The sequence below is a fragment of the Homo sapiens genome, chromosome 15 (assembly GCF_000001405.40).
Source record: "Homo sapiens chromosome 15, GRCh38.p14 Primary Assembly".
Taxonomy (NCBI): Eukaryota; Metazoa; Chordata; class Mammalia; order Primates; family Hominidae; genus Homo; species Homo sapiens.
Genome location: NC_000015.10, coordinates 85,400,258 through 85,420,122, shown reverse-complemented (window position 1 = coordinate 85,420,122; position 19,865 = coordinate 85,400,258). Strand labels below are relative to the sequence as shown.

The following is a 19,865-nucleotide window of genomic DNA, read 5'->3' as shown; positions in this document are numbered from 1 at the left end:
AAAAATACAAAAAATTAGCCGGGCGTAGTGGCGGGCGCCTGTAGTCCCAGCTACTTGGGAGGCTGAGGCAGGAGAATGGTGTGAACCCGGGAGGCGGAGCTTGCAGTGAGCTGAGATCCCGCCACTGCACTCCAGCCTGGGCAACAGAGCGAGACTCCGTCTCAAAAAAAAAAAAAAAAAAAAAAAACAAGAGTCAGATTCAGACACTTAAGCCTTCTAGAAATGACAGATGAATATGAAAGGTGTGCCTTCTTTCTCTCACCCTCTTCACTCTTTACAGCCTTACAGAGAAAATGAGGTACACAATTTCCCTTCTCTGTGCCCTACTTATCCTTAGATATTGACATTTATCAACAGAATAGATTACATACATATGTTGATTACTGACAAAAGGCATATACTATCTTTCAAGCTTTTTAAAAAAAGCTGTCATTATTTTGAAATGAGACATAAATACTGGTTAACCATCTCTCTACATTCCCTCTCCATCCCCCAACAAAAAAACTCACTAAACTTGGAAAATTTTTTATTCTCCCTCCTCAACCCAAAAACTAGAATACCAAGAATCTTTCACTCTTAAATGATTAGGCAACTATATTTTCATCTATCTTGCAACTAAGCAATCCTATACATAAAAATATCCGGGTCAACAGTGACATACAATTGTTTTCCAGAATGATACACAATGTATCAGCGGCCACGTTACTTGTATGACTAAGCTCAGTCCAAAATGCAGATCAAGTTCATCAGTATGATCGGTGAGTCTTTACCAGGAATAGAAATGGGGCAACATAATGGCAACTCACAGAGTATCAAAAGGAGAGCATTTTATAAAGTGGCCCTGAGGCTGCCATAATTAAATCTCTCAGAACCACGCATTCTTTTAATGCATACAAAGAAGTTTGCAAAGTACTTGCAAAGAAGTTTGAAAATTTTACAAATCCTATGATGATATGATACAAAGATTATACTTAAAGCAAACAGTGTCCACTGTGGAATGTTCAAAAATATACAAAGACTCTTCCCATCACCACCAAATTTTTCTGGAAATAATGGTTCTAATTAATGGTTCTGGAAATAATGGCTCTAATTAAACCCTTAAGGGTGGCATCCTTGAGCACAGAATCCATTTCTTATTTTAACATCTGAACATCTAAACAATGCCCAGCACACAGCAGGTACTATAAGCAGACTGCTGAATTTAATTATCTATACTTAAACCCATGTACAATATTTCAACTGTCTCCTTTTTGTGGTTAAAGTGGTCTTAGCCACTTGTGGTCTTTATTATTAATGATAACTATGCGATTGATTCCTTATCTCTAGACTAAATGCAATTATTTGCCTTTTAAATGCTACTTAAATATTTTATTTTAACCTACATCATCTCCTGTTCAGAGAAGTAAAAATTGTAAATATGGGAAAGACAACCAAATATTTGCATTATGACAAGGCTACTTTATCACTTTTTGTCATGACTGATTTTATTAAACTAGTGGCTATAATTATATGCTACAAGCTTAAATAATTCAACAACATGCAAAACCGAAGTCTTGGTTTCTTTACCGCTTATAGTACTGGCCACTGCACAGGTATCAGGGCTACACAATCCCATTATAGAGCCACCAGCCACATCTCAATTTGGGTTAGCCACATTTCAACTTGAAGAAATGTGGCCAGCCTGAACTGAGATGTGCTATACATCTAAAATACACACACTGACTTTGAAGATGGTACAAAAGGCCAGGCATGGTGGCTCACCCCTGTAATCCCAGCACTTTGGGAGGCCAAGATGGGAAGATCGTCTGAAGCCCAGGAGTTAGAGACCTGCCTGGGCAACAAAGTGAGACCCTGTCTATACAAAACAAAATATAAAATAATTAGACAGGCATGGTGGCGCACGCCTGTAGTCCCAGCTACTCGGGAGGCTGAGGCAGGAGGGTCCCTTGAGCCCAGGAGATTGAGACTGCAGTGACCTATGATCCTGCCACTGCACTCCAGCCTGGGCAACAGGGACAGACCCTATCTCAGAATAATAATAATAATAATAATAATGATAATAATAATAATAATAAATAATGAAGATGGTACAAAAAGAATGTAAAAATGTAAAATATCTCAATTTTATAATTACGTCAAAATGAACTTTTATATATTGAATTAAAATATTAAAATAAACTTCTCCTTTAATGTAGCAACTAGGAAATTTTAAATTACCTAGTGGCTGATATTATACTTCTACTGGACAGTACTGGACTGGAGCCAGACAAATCTAGGTTCAATTACCAGTACTAATAACTTCCTTGGTTTTGTGCTGCCTGATCAGCTGCTTAATACATAAGCTGCATTTCTCCATCTGTAAAACTAGAATAATGTCGCCTTCTTCACTGGCTCCTGGTGAGGATAAATGAGCACTTAGAACGTAATGGTTGGAATACAGCAGAAAATGGCAAAATGACAGTCATGTTTAATCGGCAAAAGAAAGATTTCAAACTTTGCTCTCAAATAAGTATCTCACAAAGTTTATCAATGGGCTAACAACAGATTGTTCTTTTAACAATTCATGACTTGTCATTACATTGCAACATTTCCATTCCTAATACCCATTAATCATACTGATTAACTTGACTCTACAACCTTGACCAATACTACATTCCAGTAATTTCTGGTTAATTTTTACATAAACGAATATTTTCTAACTTAAACGCCCATTGCTCATACGCTATTTCGATTCCACCAAAAAGGACCAGTGAGTATCAGAAAGATTCCTTTGGTCATACATACCAATTTTAAATTAAGACAAAGAAAAAGCAGTGAAGTCACCCATCCCTGAAAATGAGGTTTCTAAAATCTCAAAGTCTAAAAACTACTGGAAGCTCATCTGGCACATATTAAAGAAAGCTGGCTCCTGCCTAGGATAAACTATTAATATTTCTAATATCAATCCAAAACTTAATATCAAACAATCAGAAAACAATAAAAGGCAAAGAAAAAAGTTACCTTTTGTTCCTATGCTAGCAAGCTTTTAAGGGAAACAATGCAAAAAATCAGCTGTTCAAGTTAAGCATTAATTTTCTTTTGGAAAGGAATGAAACAAAGACAAACTAGTGAATAAAAATCCCGTATTTCATTTTGAAGCATAACACATTTATATTACTCTAATATATCAAACTCCACCAAATAACAAATGTCAATCCTATAATCATTTGTGGACAGCCGAGCTTACACATTACAGAACAATTTTAAGAACCCCAAATGTGTAAGAACCTCCAAAATTTGCTACCTTTAATGGGCAGGGAAAAGGAGAAATGAACCATGATAGGGAAACTATGGCCTTGCTGAAGAGTGGAATGGAGTGAACATACTGGTTTTCAGATGGGTCAGTTTTCAGCAGAATTCTGACCTTAACACTATCTCTGACATTCAAACACACACCAAAATTCCATAATCATAATAGATGTGATTCAATACTTAACACACCCTGCAAGTTAAAGCAAATTATGCAGCTTCTCTCAAATTTCCTTTTGCCCACTAAAAACTAGTTAGCCATGGAAGAAATTAAGTACCTGAGACATACTCATTGACCACTGGAGTCCCAAAAATTATCGTAGCTACCAGTCATGTCCACGGGAATTAGTGCGTAGAGGTATAAAATATGACTTTACATTAATGAAACTGATCATTTCTAAAGTGGCTTACCAGCAGGGAGGAAAAAAACCAGACTTAACAAAAGCACCAGTCCACCACAGTACCTGGCTACCCACAACTGAGTCTTGAACAAAATGTTACTCAAGCTGTTCACATAGTAGCCCCACTCCCAAGAAAGTACTGAAACAGGACATCTTTTATTTTTTAACTCCTTCCCCAAGAACCTGGCACAGTGCTAAACATAAACTGCACAATGAATAGAGGTATTTAACTAAATATTATGTGTCCATTTATGCAAATACATAGTACAATAAACTCTACAATTATAAAAGAGTAACCTATTCTTTAATGCTCTCAAAATTTTAGAATGTCCTTCCCTCCTTGACTCCTCAAAGCAAATATAGTTGCTCCATCCTTCTGTGCTCCCATCTCACTTCATTCGAATCTTCCCATTGACATTTACCATACTGACTCATTATTCTTCTATTTACAAATCTGCCTTGATCCATGAAAACTGAGCTCTAGGGGTTATGCGTACTGAACCACCAGGCTTTAAGTGCACCAGCTCTCTCATAAACCTCCCATTATTTTTTAAAAGATAATCATCAATATACACATCTCATTTTTTTTATTAGCACAAACACATTTATTTATTAACCAAAGGGATGATCCTAATTAATCCAACACACTTTGAAATAGCTGTATGTAAAATGTTTGGGATAAAGATAATTGAACACAGTAATGAAAAAAAAAAAAAAAGAAACGGTATGGAGATTTGCTCATTGAACTGAGCTTGGTCATTCTCTTAGTTAACTCCTGTCCAAAGTGATGATGGAATTTTTATTCTACTTTTTCATAGATCCGAGTACAGGTGACACTGTTCATGACACAGTCCACCACTAATTTCCCATCTTTCAATTTTCTTCTTATTGTGTTTTCCTTCCCATCCCACTCCTGATGTTGAACCAATGCACCATCTGTAAAGTTGCACACAGTCTGAGTTTTTCTGCCATCAGCTGTGGTTTCTTCAAACTTCTCTCCCAGGGTACAAGAAAACTGTGTTGTTTTCAAAGTGCTCTCGGTTTTTATGGTGAGGTTTTTGCCATCACAAGTGATGATACAATCTGGCTTGGCTATTGTGTCCATTTTTCGCAAAGCTATTCCCACTCCTAGCTCCTTCACATATTCATCAAAGCCTCTGCTGTCCACCAGGCGCCATCTTCCTTCCAGCTGCTGAACTGTGGCCATGAGGGGTGCGGGCGAGCTGGCGTGCAGAGCGGGGTCTGCGTCGGCGTGGCAGCGTGCTGTCACATCTCATTTTTTTTTAAAGGTATTTCCCTCTGAAACTCCTGGGATGCTGTTACTAATTATAGAAAAATTATGAATTTTCAGAGTAACTTCACTACCACCCCAAACCTGAGAGCAAAATTTAAGAAACAAACCACTCCAACATAGAAAACCCAACCAAAACAGTTGACAGGTCACACTTTCTCACATTCTGAAGTTACACTTAGGTGATTTTCTCCCATCCTAAAGCACCAATTGCATATAACAATCCCAGAATCCATTTTAGAAAACAGAATACTAACCCTCCTCCCAGACCATTTTAGTCACATCCAGTCATATACTTCTTTAATACAAGGCAAAGCCTAAGACAAGAGAAGGCATTAGGCAAATGTCAATGGTCTCTCCTTAAAGCTAGGACATCTCAATTTGTCATTTGCTCAAAGAGACTTTGAAAAAGAAACAAGAACAAATTAACTATTCATCTTAGAAATGCATCCACACCAGGAGAAGGCACTCTAACATAAGAATTAACAAAACATGTAGTCTACCAACTTCCTTATCTTATTTTGGAGCTCCCTCACCCTTTTCAAATTATACACATAAAGGAACACTCTGTACCTATACCATATGTATTAATACCAAGAGGATTTTTTCCCATCTTCATTCTCTATATCATCATCTAAATCTCACTACCCCTCATTTTTGTGTATGTATAGAAACCTTGTTAATTATCACCAGAATACAAAGCTATTGACTAGTTCAGAAGTGAAAAAAGAAAGCACGGTGGTCTTATTCCTCTTGGATTTTTTTTTACTGTGCTACTATTCATAAGTTCTCATTTTGTTTGTCCCTCATTTTCAAAAACCCTTCACACAATCAGCAATTCAATTCTACCACAAAACATGTATTAGAAATGAATAGGCAATCTTTACAACAGTTTAAATTTGCCCCGTCAAAGCCTGTTTACAGAATACAAATCTGAAAGACAAGTACCAATTATACACAGGCCACAATAGTGCTGAAAAAAAGGAAGACTGGTTTCAAGAGACAGTATGAACATCGGAGAAAAATCTGGGAATAACACATAAGTTAAACATGACGAAAAACCTTAAAAAGAGTTACACCTTTTTTCCTCTGCTTTTCAGGCTATAACAGGTACTCTCATTTCCATTTCCACTGAGGTGGTAAAAAAGGTTGGAGAAAACAATGAAAGTTGAATGAGTATAAAAAAGTATAATTAAAATATACATATATTCTTTAATAGAGGAGTATAATGGATAATGTAAATAAAGCTGTTCATATAAATTTCAAAATACATGTACCAAGACAATTTTAAAGTAGCTGTCTATGTAATATAAAGTTGAGTTAGTAGGGCACGTGGGATACTGTGAATATAAATGCTTCTGAGGCGCTCTCAATCAACAAACCCACCAAGCAGAAACAACTATTGTGCTAAGAATCCTAACAAGGGCCTGAGAACACACTGCGATCTCACCGTCCGGAGCTGAAACCGTGATGACACATGTTCCTGTGCAGGGTGCCTGGGTTGAGTCACTTCCCCTCTCTGAATCTCTACTTTCATGTTTGCTTTTTCAGTCACCTGATGCTTGCAGCACAATAACCCAAAAGCCAGGGGTCAGGGCAATGGTGCTATTCTCTTCACCTTCACCTGACTTCAACTCCATCCCCACTTCCTTGTCTCCCAATGGGAAAACTCCTGAAAATAACATTTTCAGACAATCTAAAGTTTCTATACCCCTGAATGAAATGAAAGAACTAGCATAAGCAACGACAACTGAACTACAGCCATCCTGAAAAATCTCTCCAACCTTGAGCTAGATTCACATACTAACTACTAGTAACCATAAGAAACTAAGCCCACAGTCTTCCAGTTACGGTCTGTTCTGAAGTTCTGAAAGAACCACCTTCTAAAGATCCAGCTCCACAAAACAGTACAAGACTACGTGACCTGGGATAAAAAGAAAACATGCGCAGGATCTTCAGCCACTGCTCAACCTTGCATCAACAATCTTCAGACAACAGCATTCTGCACTTTTCCCTAAGGATCAATTAGCAGTGCGGACACAGTGCCGACTTACAAACTTTTCTGTGAGGCAGCAGAACATCCTGATGAAAAGCGCAGGCTTTCAATTTCAACTTAAACTAAGTCTAAAACTTAGCTCTACTACTTACCTCTTAAATAAGCTTGGGCCAATTACTTGACCCGCCAGTGCCTTAGCCCCCTGATTTGTAAAACTAAGGTAATATATACGTTGCAGGATAAGATAAAGGTTAGAGGAGATAATATAGGTACGGTGTTCAGTGCAGTGTCAGGCACATATTAAGTGCCCAATAAATATAACTCAGCATTATGAAAGCAGATACTAATTATTTTCCTCTGTGTTGTTTCTATAAAGATTTTCAAATAAGAAACTAAAGTATTTCATGAGGATCAGCTTATTTCAATCCATTGTAAGCTATAATCAGTGGTTTGAAAGTTCTTGGTTGCCTGAGCTCCCTCCTTTTTACTCTTAAAAACTGAGAATCCCAAAGAGCTTTTGTTATGTGGGTTATATTTATTGGTACTTTATTGTATTAGAAATTAAAACTGAAAAATTTATAAAATATTACTTCATTTTAAAATTCCATGAACTCATTACAAATAAACATACTTTTATGAAAAATAACTATGTTTTCCAAAACAAAACAAAAATAAGAACGTGGCACTGTTTTACATTTTGGCAAATCTCTTTAATGTCTGGCTTAATAGAAGACAGCTGGATTCTCCTATCTGCTTCTGCATTCAAACGGTTACACTGTTTGGGGAAGTACATTTTTAAAATTTTGCCTCAAATAGATACCCAATTTGAAAAAGGAGTAGTATTTTAATAGTCTTTTGGGATAGTTGTTAATATTCTTTTTCCATGTTACACCAAAACTTGACAAGTGGTAGCTTCTTAAAGAGTTAGTCACAATGTGAAATCTGAAACTGTATCAATGACCGTTTTGTACTCTGTTACATTAAAAGTGACTGGTCTTTCACTTTGAATGAATCGTTTACCCAAGCATGATTTTTGCTGTAACATCATACATTGATCATTTGTGAAAATACTGGTTCCTTGAGTTATGCAGATCTTCCAAATGTAGATACATTTCATTATACAATATCAAAAATCACATTTGTTAATATCATTACTTTACTCATAAAGCTTTTAAATACTGAAAAGCTGTCAAGCTCATGGTGGCGAATACATATTTTCCAAACTTCTGATTTTCACTTGCAAACTCAAATTTTATCACTGGCAACAAAGACTCCACTACTTCCTTGAAGTAAAGGCTTGCTTTATTTTCAAGAAGGTATCTGCCAAATAACCAATTTCTGGATAACCACAGCTTATCAAAGTCCTCCCTTCAAATAAAAATGGAGTTTCATTTAAAAAAGCAGTTAGTTGGCCGGGCGCGGTGGCTCACGCCTGTAATCCCAGCACTTCAGGAGGCCGAGGCAGGCGGATCACGAGGTCAAGAGATCGAGACCACCCTGGGTAACACGGTGAAACCCTGTCTCTACGAAAGATACAAAAAATTAGCCGGGCGTGGTGGTGGGCGCCTGTAGTCCCAGCTACTCAGGAGGCTGAGGCAGGAGAATGGCGTGAACCCGGGAAGCGGAGCTTGCAGTGAGCCGAGATCGTGCCACTACACTCCAGCCTGGGGGACGGAGCAAGACTCCATCTCAAAAAAAAAAGCAGTTAGTTCACCTTAATGTCCATCACACGAGAGCTTTACCTCAAGATAACCACAATACTTCCACGTGCAGAACTCCTTTGCGCATATTTCCCTTTTCTTCCCACATTTTTAAATGTGTGCTCAAAGGTTGAGATTTAATAAAAGTAATAATGTTCACTACTTCATCACAGACATTAAGTGGAACTGGCATTATTTCTCACTCACAGTACATGACTGTAATGAATACCGTGACTACTGGAGCTCAGTTTAGTTCACTGTCGTGATTGATTCTAAGGCATCGGCAGCTTCACCCATTGTTGCTTTTGCACTATGCACTATCAGGTCAAATGTCTGCACACTATAAAAAGGTAAATAATGTTTTCATGTGTTGACCTCACAGACTCACTGAAAGAGTCTCAGGAATGTTCAATGGTCTACTGACTACACTTGGAGAACCAATGTTATAGGATCAATGAAGATCCATCAATTACCTACGTGTGTAGAACCTGTATAGAGTACAAGTCATGATTACTACTACAAGGAACTAAAGGGGACAGAACATTTTCTTAAAAACACACAAAAAGCTAACACAATACAGAGCCATTTACAATCAATTGCCCAATGAAACAGCACAGAAAATAAATGCCATAATCATTCTGAGAACGGAAAATGATCTCTATGGGCTGGACCAGCTAGAGAAGGATTCAAGGAGGAAAGGGATTTGAGTTAGGCCCTGAAAAACCAGGCAAGGTGAAGAGGTGACAGCATTCCAAGCAGAGAGCACAGCACAAGCACGTCCAGGTGACAGATGGTAAATCTGAGAGTCGCAGAAGAGAAATGGCCCACCTATCAAGCATCTTACCCCAGTCCAAGGAAGATAAAATGCCTTGACTGACACTGCCAATATACTAATGACCAGGGAAGAAAATAACTGCAAAGGGGGGTTAAGGTCAAGGTAGAAGGAGTTGGACTGCCAAGCTTAGTGTCTGAACTTGATCCTGAAAGCATCACAAAGCCCCTGAAAGGTGTTTTGGAAAGGCCAGTCCAAACAGTGTACAGGAAAATTAAGAGAAATCTGAAGCAGAAGACCTATTTTGAAGCCATTCTCATGACCCAGGTGAAAGTCGACAAGAAGGGCATGAGTAGGGAGACAGCCCCAAGACAACTACTACTGTAAGACATGGTACACAAAAGCAGGTATGACCAGACTTGCTTCTAACTGGACAGCTGGTGATGAGCGACCAGCCCGGGGAAGTCATGGTCATGATGCTTATTCTAATAACCACACCTGAGGGCCATGAAAAAGAAAGGAAGGAGACATTACTCAAAAGATACTAGGTCATAAATCATACCTAGAAAGGAAAATTCCAGAAAAAGTGAATACCAACCCTTTTTCAAATTATAAAATTATATCATACTCCTCTAAAGGAAAATGGAGGAAACTAATTTCTTCATTTGAGCTCAGTAAAGTTACTATAAAAGCAACAACCTCCCTTATAATTTAAGGTTCATTAAAAAACTACTAGCTGCATCAGGCCAGGCGCGGTGTCTCACGCCTGTAATCCCAGCACTTTGGGAGGCCGAGGCGGACGGATCATGAGGTCAGGATATAGAGACCATCCTGGCTAACACGGTGAAACCCCGTCTCTACTAAAAATACAAGAAAATTAGCAGGGTGTGGTGGTGGGCGCCTGCAGTCCCAGCTACTCGGGAGGCTGACGCAGGAGAATGGCGTGTACCCAGGAGGCGGAGCTTGCAGTGAGCCGAGATCGCACCGCTGCACTCCAGCCTGGGCGACAGACAAAGCGAGACTCTGTCTCAAAAAAAAAAAAAAAAAACTACTACTAGCTGCATCAAAGAATATAATCAACAGAGTGAAAAGGCAACCCACAGAATGGGAGAAAATTCTAGCAACTCTTATTTAATAAGAGATTAATATTTAGAATACATAAATAATTCCTACAACCAATTTAAAAAAAGGGTAATGGACCTGATAGGGTGGCTCATACCTGTAATCCCAGCACTTTGGGAGGCCGAGGCAGGCAGATCACCTGAGGTCAAGAGTTCGAGACCAGCCTAGACAACATGATGAAACCCTGTCTCCACTAAAAATACAAAAAATTAGCTGGGTGTGGTGGTGCACTCTTTCATCCCAGCTACTCAGGAGGCTGAGGCAGGAGAATCGCTTGAACCTGGGAGGCAGAGGTTCCAGTGAGCAGAGATCGTGCCTATGCACTCCAGGCTAGGCGACGAGTGAAACTCCATCTCAAAAAAATAATTAAATTAAAATAAAATAAAAATGAAAAACAGGCAAAGGATTTGAACAAATATTTCTCCAAAAAAGATATACAAATAGCCAATAACCACATAAAAAGATGCTCACATCACTAACTACTAGAAAAATGCAAATCAAAACCACAATGAGATATCACTTCACACACTATAAGATGACTACTGTCACAAAAACAGAAAATAACAAGTGTTGGTGAGGGTACAGAGAAACTGGAACACTTGTGCACTGCTGTTAGAAATGTAAAATGGTACAGCCACTATGGAAAACAGTATGGCAGCTCCTCAAAAAATTAAAAATAGAATTACCATATGATCCAGCAAGTCCACCTCTGGGTACATACGCCAAAGAACTGAAAGCAGGGACTTCGAAAGATGTCTGTACACCCATGGTCAAAGCAACATTATTCACAATAACCCATATGTGGAAACAACTCTAGTGTCCATTGGTGGATGAATGGATAAACAAAATGTGGTATATACATACAATGGAATATTATTCTGCCTTAAAAAGGAAATACATTCTGACACATGCTACCACATGGATGAATTCTAATGACATTGTGCTAAGTGAAGTAAGCCAGTCACAAGAACGCAGACTGTGTGGTATCATTTACATATAGTACCCAGAATAGTCAAATCCATAGAAACAGGAAGTAGAAAAGTATTTGCCAGGGACACGGAGGAGAGAGAAATAGAAAGTTATTGTTTCATGGGTACAAAATTTCCGTTCCGCAACATGAAAAGAGTCATGGAAATGGACAGTGGTGATGACTGCACGACAATGTGAAAGAGCTAAATGCCACTGCCTCTGCACTTAAAAATGATTAAGACGGTAAATGGTTAAGATGGTAAATTTTATGGTATGTGTGTTTACCACAATTAACATTTTTTAATATTCTTAAAATATCAATTACTGGCATGCAGTAAGCAGTTGGTACTTTCTAGATGAATAAATGGACTCTAAAATAGATTGTGGGCAAAATCAAGAACCACTTTGAATGAGGTAATCTAAGCCAAATGTAAACATTACCACTTCCAGGAAGCCAACTCCTCTCCCATGCCAGAATGAATCATGCCCCTCAGTGCACTCTCATTCACCCAGCAGCCTGTGCTAGAAATTCCCAGTTATTCTGGACAACTACCACCTCCTAATTCCCACCATCTACTCAACAAGTTTCATCCATTCAACTTTCAAAATGTCCATTAGATCTGCTGGCTCCCTTCCAACCTCACTGCATTCAAGCCCTCACAATCTGTCCAAAACTATGGTAATGGCCTCCTCTAACTTGTCTGAGAGGCAATGCTCCCTTCTCCCTCTGCCAAGCCACTATCCTCTACTGCTCACAGAATGAGGTATCCAAAACAAAACCAGACTATCCTCCCTTTTGCTTCAAGAGGACAAACTAAAAGACGCTTCCACCCACCCCATTTTGACTTTCTAACCTAATTCGGTGACCACACCCTATCCACACGAAATAATTCTACACCTCACTGCTCACTGAGTTCAAACACACCAAGCTCTTTGACGTCTGTTTCTTTGCACACAGTGTATCACAGCAGAACCATCATTCCATTCTTTCTCTCCTCAACCCAGGCCTGGCAAATTCCTACTCATGCTTTAAGACCCAGCACAGGCCGGGCACGATGGCTCATGCCTATAATCCCAGCACTTTGGGAGGCCAAGGCAGACAGATCACCTGAGGTCAGGAGTTGAAGAACAGCCTGGCCAACATGGTGAAACCCTGTCTCTACTAAAAATAAAAAAAATTTTAAAAAAATTAGCCAGGCATGGCAGCGCATGCCTGTAGTCTCAGCCACTCGGGAAGCTGAAACAGGAGAATCTCTTGAACCCAGGAGGCGGAGGTTGCAGTGAGCCCAGATCGCACCACTGCATTCCAGCCTGGGTGACAGAGCAAGACTCCGTCCCAAAAAAAAAAAAAAAGACCCAGCACACCCGTCCCATCCCTCATCCCTCATCTGTGTTCCTTAGAAGCCTGTATACCACAAAGTTGGTACTCTAACATTGTTACACAACAAATTTCCATATCTCTCACTATACCCCAATTATCTTTGCATTCCTAGTGGCTGGTGCACATTCCTTCTGCTTAAATATTTCTTCAATGAGCTTATACTACTTGTAACTAGCATAAAATATATTATTTCTGTTTTGTAAGTAGGACAAAAAATCCAGAGATCTTATCCTCCAGAGACATACTCTTTGTGGCCTAGGACTGTGCTTTACTCTCCCTTGGTTCTTTCAGGGCCTAGCCCATAATATGCTGTCTCATATTGTCTGCTGAAAGGAATTTCAAAATAGAACTACCCCTAGAAACCATCAAATTAGCTTTTATTATGCATTTTTCTCTCAAAGTGTCTATGTTCTCCTAACACAAAATGTTATGAAATCTAATTACATTTACAAAAATTAGCAAAGAAACAACACTGCAAACAACTTATTAGCCAATTCATGTCTCCTAAAACAGTAACACAAATAACATAAGTAGTTTATTTCTAAATAGGAATTCAGACTGGAAAGGTCAGTAACTGCTGTATATAGTACCTCTTCTTCTACCTTCCAATGTCCTATACCATAATTGATCTACACTTAAAGAAAAAAAATTCTCCCCAATTATAGGTACAACCACAGACAAAAAATAAATGCTTGCTGGACACATATGTGTCCAGCAACGAGCAATATGGTATATAAAATAGGTACTGTTTTTCCCATCTTACACACAGTGGAACTGCAGCTCCAAAAAAAAAACAAAAAAAAAAACTATTTTCTAGTCTAAGGTCACAAAAATTAGTTGAGAGAGAGCAAGACTTGAAACCACAATCATAAAACCATACAATGTCATGGGAATTTTAATCATGGTCCCTTCACTCTTCACTCAGGATGGTAAAGCACACTTACAGGCACAATGGAAATAACTGCACTACCGTGGGGTGTGCAGTCTTAATCAAAGATCCAGAGAAATAGTTTATTTATCCACTCTAGTTTTTGTATCTTAAGAGCATTTTGGTCTGGCTCAGTGGCTTACACCTATAATCCCAGCACTTTGGGACGCCAAGGCAGGAGGATCGCTTGAGGCCAGGAGTTTGAAACCAGCCTGGGCAACATAGTGAGACCCTGTCTCTACAAAATAAAAATTACAAAGTTAGTTGGGCATGGTGGCACATGCCTGTAGATGCAGCTACTCAAGAAGCTGAAGCAGCAGGTCTGCTTGAGCCCAGGAGTTCAAGGTTGTGGTGAGCTGTGATCACCAGTGTACTCTAACAGCCTTGGCGATGGGGCAAGACTCTGTCTCAAAAAAAAGAGGGTGGGGGGTGAGGGCAGGTATTCTACCAGTAGTATGACATGCAACAGAGAGTACTTTCTTCAAGAGACACATACAACACCTATCATTTGTCCTAAAGGCTACTCCGTTAGAGAAGTCTGGAACGGCTTGCAAACTGCAACAAAAAGAACACTGGCTTTGGAATGAAATTGACTTTGGCCGAAGTTCTGGATCCTGCCCTTACTAGCTCAATAAGTATCCTAGCTTCTTTGTATCTCATATTTCTGTAACTAAAACACAGAGATAAAATCTTCACAGGTTAGTGAATAAGGCAAATAAACAGCATCTAGCACATAGTAAGCACTCAATAAATAAATAAAGTTTCCTTCAACCTTTGCCAACCCTACCAGAATTTTGTCTCCAATTTTTGTATCCACACAAGATTAGAATTCAAATAACTTACCCGGTCCATAGTAAAATCAGTATGTGAATCATGGATTTTTGTCAAACTCATTTGTTTCGTGGATACAAACTTCACAACCAAAGTTAACAAAGTGAGCTAGAAGCCAAACTAAACTAGAATCTGGGTCTTTTAAACTACCCAGTTCAAAGCTCTTTAGTAAAAGGGGAAAGACTAACACCATACGAAGAGAAACCAGAGTATAAGTTCAGAACACAGATTCAAAGGCACAAATCTTTCAGGAAAACATCAGTAGAAACAACAAGACACCAAGACAAAACTAAGTCTGAATCGATTAAAACACATGACTCATCTATTCATAAGCTCTAGACTTAGAAGTCACATTAAGAAACTTCACAATGGATCTTTAAAACACAAAACAGACTTTAAACAATGGTAAGGAAAGCTCACCAGAATGTGCTAGGATACAGCATTCCAGATAGCTTATAAAAAAAGAAAAAAACACAACCACTGCTACATAAGGCCCTACTGAGTACTAAGAATGAACACACACAATGATAATAGCTAGAAGGAGGTAAGTGCAAGCAACGAAGGCAAAATAACTTTAAAGATAGTAACAATTTGTCAAACAAAGGCAAATTAATCATTGGCTTTTCAACACAGCCACAATCTAACAGCCATTCATTCAGTAAAGATTACTGAGCCCCTACCATAAGCTGGGAGCTAGGTACTAAAGATACAAAGGTGTGACACTAGCCCAGTAAAGGGAATGAGATATACAAGTACAACTTTACAACCAGGATAGGAAACAGTGTGCCAGAAATGCTTGAGAGGTCAGAAAGACAGCTTATAACCAACTGTGAGAATGAAGCAGGGTTTATGTAGGAAACATCCTTCAAGACTTAGCTTGAAAAGCTAAGGCAGAATTGGACATGAACAGATGGGAAGGAACATTTTGTGTGTCCCTAGGGTCTAGCCTCCACATTGGCACACAAAGTAATCAATATATGTTTCTCAAATGCATGAATGGGCAAAGGCACATGATGATAAATAAATACTTCACCACAGTGAGAGAACAGTTTTTAAAGCGTGTTGTTGCAGAACCAAACTGTGGCAGGCCTTACTCAGATTTTATTCGGTGGGCAATGAGGAACTACTATTTTTAAATGGGGCAGTGATACGACCAAAACTGAGCTAAAAGAAGAATAAACTGACAAAACATAAAACAGGTGACAGCTAAAAGAGAAAACCTGCCCTTAACTATGCTATTGACCTTATCTGCATCTGAGGTAATTATGCTTCAATCTTGGTCAGTCCCTCTCCTTAAAAATCTTTTACACTAATGATTTCTGATGATGTGTGTAGTAAAGTCAGGATAAGCTAGATTATACTATGGTAACAACAACCAGAAGGTATCAGAAGTTAACACAATGAAGTTTACTCCTCACTCACTCAAAGATCACTATGGCTCCAGGCAACTCTCTGGGGCAGCAATCCTTCAAGCCTCAGGGCAGTATTCCAACCTGATTTCATCATGTGGTACTGTCATAGCTACTTGTGCTTCCAGGTCCCAAAAGCAAGGAAAGAGAGAGAGCATTTCACGTCAGATTTTTTTTTTTTTTTTTTGAGAGGAGTTTTGCTCTTGTTGCCCAGGATGGCATGCGATGGTGTGGTCTAGGCTCACTGAGAATCGCTTGAACCACCTCCCGGGTTCAAGCGATTCTCCTGCCTCAGCCTTCCAAGTAGCTGGGATTACAGACATGCGCCACCACGCCCGGCTAATTTTTGTATTTTTAGTAAAGACAAGGTTTCACTATGTTGATCAGGCTGATCTCGAACTCCTGACCTCAGGTGATCCACCCACCTCAGCTTCCCAAAGGGCTGGGATTACAGGCATGAGCCACTGCGCCCGACCTCACATCAGCTTTTAAATGCTTCTAGCCAAAAGCGACACATTTCCATGGGACACAGCAAGTCACAAGACCATGCCATCTTGAAATAGGCTGGGAAATGTGATATTCCACATGCAAAAAGGAGAACTAGAAATTGTAGTGAGTGGCACTAATGCCCACCACGTTTTGATATTTTTACAGTGTCCAGCAATAAATTATGTTGTGAAGAAAAAAATGCCCAATTTCCTTGCATTAGGTACCACCATGGTAAATCCATTCTTAGGGCATCAAAGTTAGCACCACACTGATCATAAAACAATCTAATCTCTGTATGTTCACTGACTCTAAAGAATTTAGCATCACCTATTTTAGATTTTTTTCATATCTATTATTCTTTTAGGAATAATTTCCAACCATTAAAGAAAACATAGCTTATTTCATTCTGCTCTAATCTTACAAATTTCTCATTTTTTCCTTATTTATGAGGACCTAACAGATAAGGAATGGTATATACAATATAATCAAATCATTTCTGCCCTACTATTAAGAGTCCTTGGCATAACAAGCAGTTAAGAACAATGAACGTTGCTAATCACTTTTATTACCAGATTTCATTAATGAAAAACATGAGTAACAGCGGTGCTATTAAAAACGTCTCACAGCTACAAAACTCCTGTAACTTTAAGAAAGGCAGGTGAACATAATAAAGAATGCACACATTTTAGAAACACAATCCTAGTTTCAATCCCCAGCTCTTGCACTTCTGGCTGTGGGAGTTTAGCCAAGCTACACAATCTTAGTAAGCCTCAACTACCATTTACGGCAGAGCTAACTCCAGCTACTTCACAAGACCACCCCAGGGTTAAGTGAGACATACAGATAAAATGCTACAAAGTAAGTGCTCGAAAAAAAAAATGGCAGCTAGCATAAATAGGTTTTGATAAGCAAGGAGTATGATTCTTTGCATCTTTTTATCAGGATTTCCCAAGCTCCCGGAGAGCTAAAAAGTATTTTAATTTCTAATTGCTTAGTTGAGAACTATCTCATGGGCAGTTAACATCAGAGCACAGCCTAGCAGTCAGATACCACGATCCCCCATTGTATTATACAGTTCCTTCATGATTCAGCCAGTAAAATTTCCCTAACCATGAAAGACTTATACCAAGAACAAAGACATCCAGCCAACAGATGGAGATTCATAAACACCAAATCCTAGGCACCAGAAGGCACTTTCAACATATTTCAGTCCAGATGTTTCCAAACTGATTTTTTGGCCATGGAAGTGTCTTCGAAGGAAACATTACAGGAAACACAAAAATAAACTAGAGGAAAGTGGAACTACTCTGTGTAGCACCACTTGCTCTCTTTTTCATGCCCTCCCCAATCTCACTTGGGCCCTTGATGTAATTCCAAGGATCTCCAGGACTTGAGGATACTTTTTGGGGAAAACACAACAAAGAACCAAACAAAAACCTGATACAGTTTAACCGTTTCATTTTTGATGGGAGAATTGAGGTGGAGTGGGCTAAGCAACTTGCCCAAGGTTGTTGGCAGCAAACTAAACCAAATTTATTGAATCCTAATCCAGTGTCTGTTCACTAACAAGTTTTTCTCAGCTACAGAATGTTTTACATCAGAATTTATCCTTTACATTTCTACCAGTCAGTGAGTTTCCATCTTCCTATTTTTAATCTGGCATTCTTATTACTACTGTCTTGTTACTCATTCTCTTATTATTTTGTTCCCCATTATTATTGTCCTATGTCCCAGAAAAACTGCACAGAAACATTTAATTCCTACCACTGATTTACCAAGCTAATTGTTTATCCCAGATCCCTAAGACAGGAAAGAAAGTAGGGAGACCTAAGGAAGAATCCTCTGAAATGTGAGATACCAAGGTCCTATTTGTTGGTTGACCTGCTAATTGTTATTACTCTCTTTTTTACAACCTCAAAGGGACAGTTTAAGAGAATACTGAGACAAAAATGACTAGCTTCTTTGGTAAACAGTTTATAATAGCTCAAGTTACCAGGGGGAGGAAACAGTAAAAAAGCAGAATGGCACACTTCTGAGATTTAAGCCCAAATAATGCTGTTGTAACAGAGAAAACAAATCAAAGCTGGCCTTGCCCCAAAAGATTTCCAAAACAGAGGTCCTTTGGGAGGTCTATAAAAATTCTGATCAATTCAGGTTGGCAGAGGAGACGTCCTCAAAATTCTACATAGGGTTCCTTACCAAAACCAAGTAACATCTAGACTTCATAACGAAACTAACAGTTCAATAATCAGGTATACTACATAAAAAACTGGGTGGTTTCAAGACCACAGAAGCCCTCCCACATCTGAATTAACTATCTACATGTTCCAAGACTTTATTATAGAACCATCATAAATTAAATTTCTACATCTAGTGATATAATATGCCGGGCACAGTGGCTCGTGTCTATAATCCCAGCACTTTGAGAGGCCAAGGCAGGTGGATCACCTGAGGTCAGGAGTTTGAGATCAGCTTGACGAACATGGTAAAACCCAATCTCCAATAAAAATATGAAAATAAGCCAGGCATGGTGACACACACATGTGATCCCAGCTACTTGGGAGGTTGAGGCAGGAGAATCGCTTGAATCCGGGAGGCGGAGGTTGCAGTAAGCCAAGATTGTGCCACTGCACCCCAGCCTGAGCAACATACTCTGTTTAAAAAAAAAAAATATATATATATATATACATATATATATATATGGCTACTAAATTATGATTAATCAGCTATTTCTCTGTAACCAGAAATAGGCTGAATATCAACAAGATACTCCTAAGAATGGTCAACAAAACAGAGACAAGCTGGTGTATCAACAGTGCCAAGAGATCACCTTACACAGCTACCTGACTTACAACTTCCTATACAACTAGTTCTTCCTACTTATAATACAGAAAACCTTCACAAATATTATGATTGAAAATCATTATTATAGCTGAGACCAGTTGACTAATCTTTGGCTCAGAGAAAAAGGTTTGCCTACATTAAAGTCAAGAACACAGTTTCAATGTTTAATTTGCTTGTTTTCTTGATTATCTAAACCATGATGTCAATATGTAACTGTGATTTGAGGAACATATGTGGATTATACGTATTTGTACTTTCAGAACTAAATTTTGTTTTTTAATTTTTTTTTTAGAGACAGGATCTTGCTTTGTCACCCAGGCTGGAGTAAAGGCAGTGTGATCATAGCTCACTGTAACCTCTAACTCATGGACTCAAGTGATCCTTCCGCCTCAGCCTCTCAGGTAGCTACAACTATAGGCATGCATCACCACCCAGCTAATTTTT

At 38.9% G+C, this 19,865-nt stretch overlaps 1 protein-coding gene and 1 pseudogene across 2 annotated transcripts in view, besides 7 other annotated features; both read right to left on the bottom strand.

The window, feature by feature from the left end:
* The window catches only part of AKAP13 (A-kinase anchoring protein 13), a 368,756-nt gene that overhangs the window by 329,236 nt on the left and 19,655 nt on the right, over positions 1–19,865 (bottom strand). The window lies entirely within an intron of this gene.
* Positions 4,280–4,956, bottom strand: FABP5P9 (fatty acid binding protein 5 pseudogene 9; annotated as a pseudogene).
* Positions 4,472–4,971: an enhancer, noted in NCBI's record as "H3K4me1 hESC enhancer chr15:85958383-85958882 (GRCh37/hg19 assembly coordinates)". NCBI's record gives its function as "activates a minimal SCP1, AML or CMV promoter by ChIP-STARR-seq in naive H9 embryonic stem cells {active_cell/tissue: H9 hESC(naive)}" and the evidence as "EXISTENCE:reporter gene assay evidence [ECO:0000049][PMID:30033119]".
* Positions 5,827–7,026: an enhancer, noted in NCBI's record as "BRD4-independent group 4 enhancer chr15:85956328-85957527 (GRCh37/hg19 assembly coordinates)". NCBI's record gives its function as "activates an origin of replication core promoter dependent on BRD2, P300/CBP, MED14 and CDK7 cofactors, and independent of BRD4, by STARR-seq in HCT116 cells {active_cell/tissue: HCT116}" and the evidence as "EXISTENCE:reporter gene assay evidence [ECO:0000049][PMID:35650434]".
* Positions 5,827–7,481: a biological region, named in NCBI's record as "BRD4-independent group 4 enhancer GRCh37_chr15:85956328-85957527".
* Positions 6,311–6,605: an enhancer, noted in NCBI's record as "tiled region #6429; HepG2 Activating DNase unmatched - State 5:Enh, and K562 Activating non-DNase unmatched - State 22:ReprW". NCBI's record gives its function as "activates a minimal TATA promoter and a strong SV40 promoter by Sharpr-MPRA in HepG2 and K562 cells {active_cell/tissue: HepG2 | K562}" and the evidence as "EXISTENCE:reporter gene assay evidence [ECO:0000049][PMID:27701403]".
* Positions 6,480–6,979: an enhancer, noted in NCBI's record as "H3K27ac hESC enhancer chr15:85956375-85956874 (GRCh37/hg19 assembly coordinates)". NCBI's record gives its function as "activates a minimal SCP1, AML or CMV promoter by ChIP-STARR-seq in naive H9 embryonic stem cells {active_cell/tissue: H9 hESC(naive)}" and the evidence as "EXISTENCE:reporter gene assay evidence [ECO:0000049][PMID:30033119]".
* Positions 6,980–7,481: an enhancer, noted in NCBI's record as "H3K27ac hESC enhancer chr15:85955873-85956374 (GRCh37/hg19 assembly coordinates)". NCBI's record gives its function as "activates a minimal SCP1, AML or CMV promoter by ChIP-STARR-seq in naive H9 embryonic stem cells {active_cell/tissue: H9 hESC(naive)}" and the evidence as "EXISTENCE:reporter gene assay evidence [ECO:0000049][PMID:30033119]".
* Positions 18,673–18,772: an enhancer, noted in NCBI's record as "active region_10011". NCBI's record gives its function as "activates an Ori minimal core promoter by ATAC-STARR-seq in GM12878 lymphoblastoid cells {active_cell/tissue: GM12878}" and the evidence as "EXISTENCE:reporter gene assay evidence [ECO:0000049][PMID:35858748]".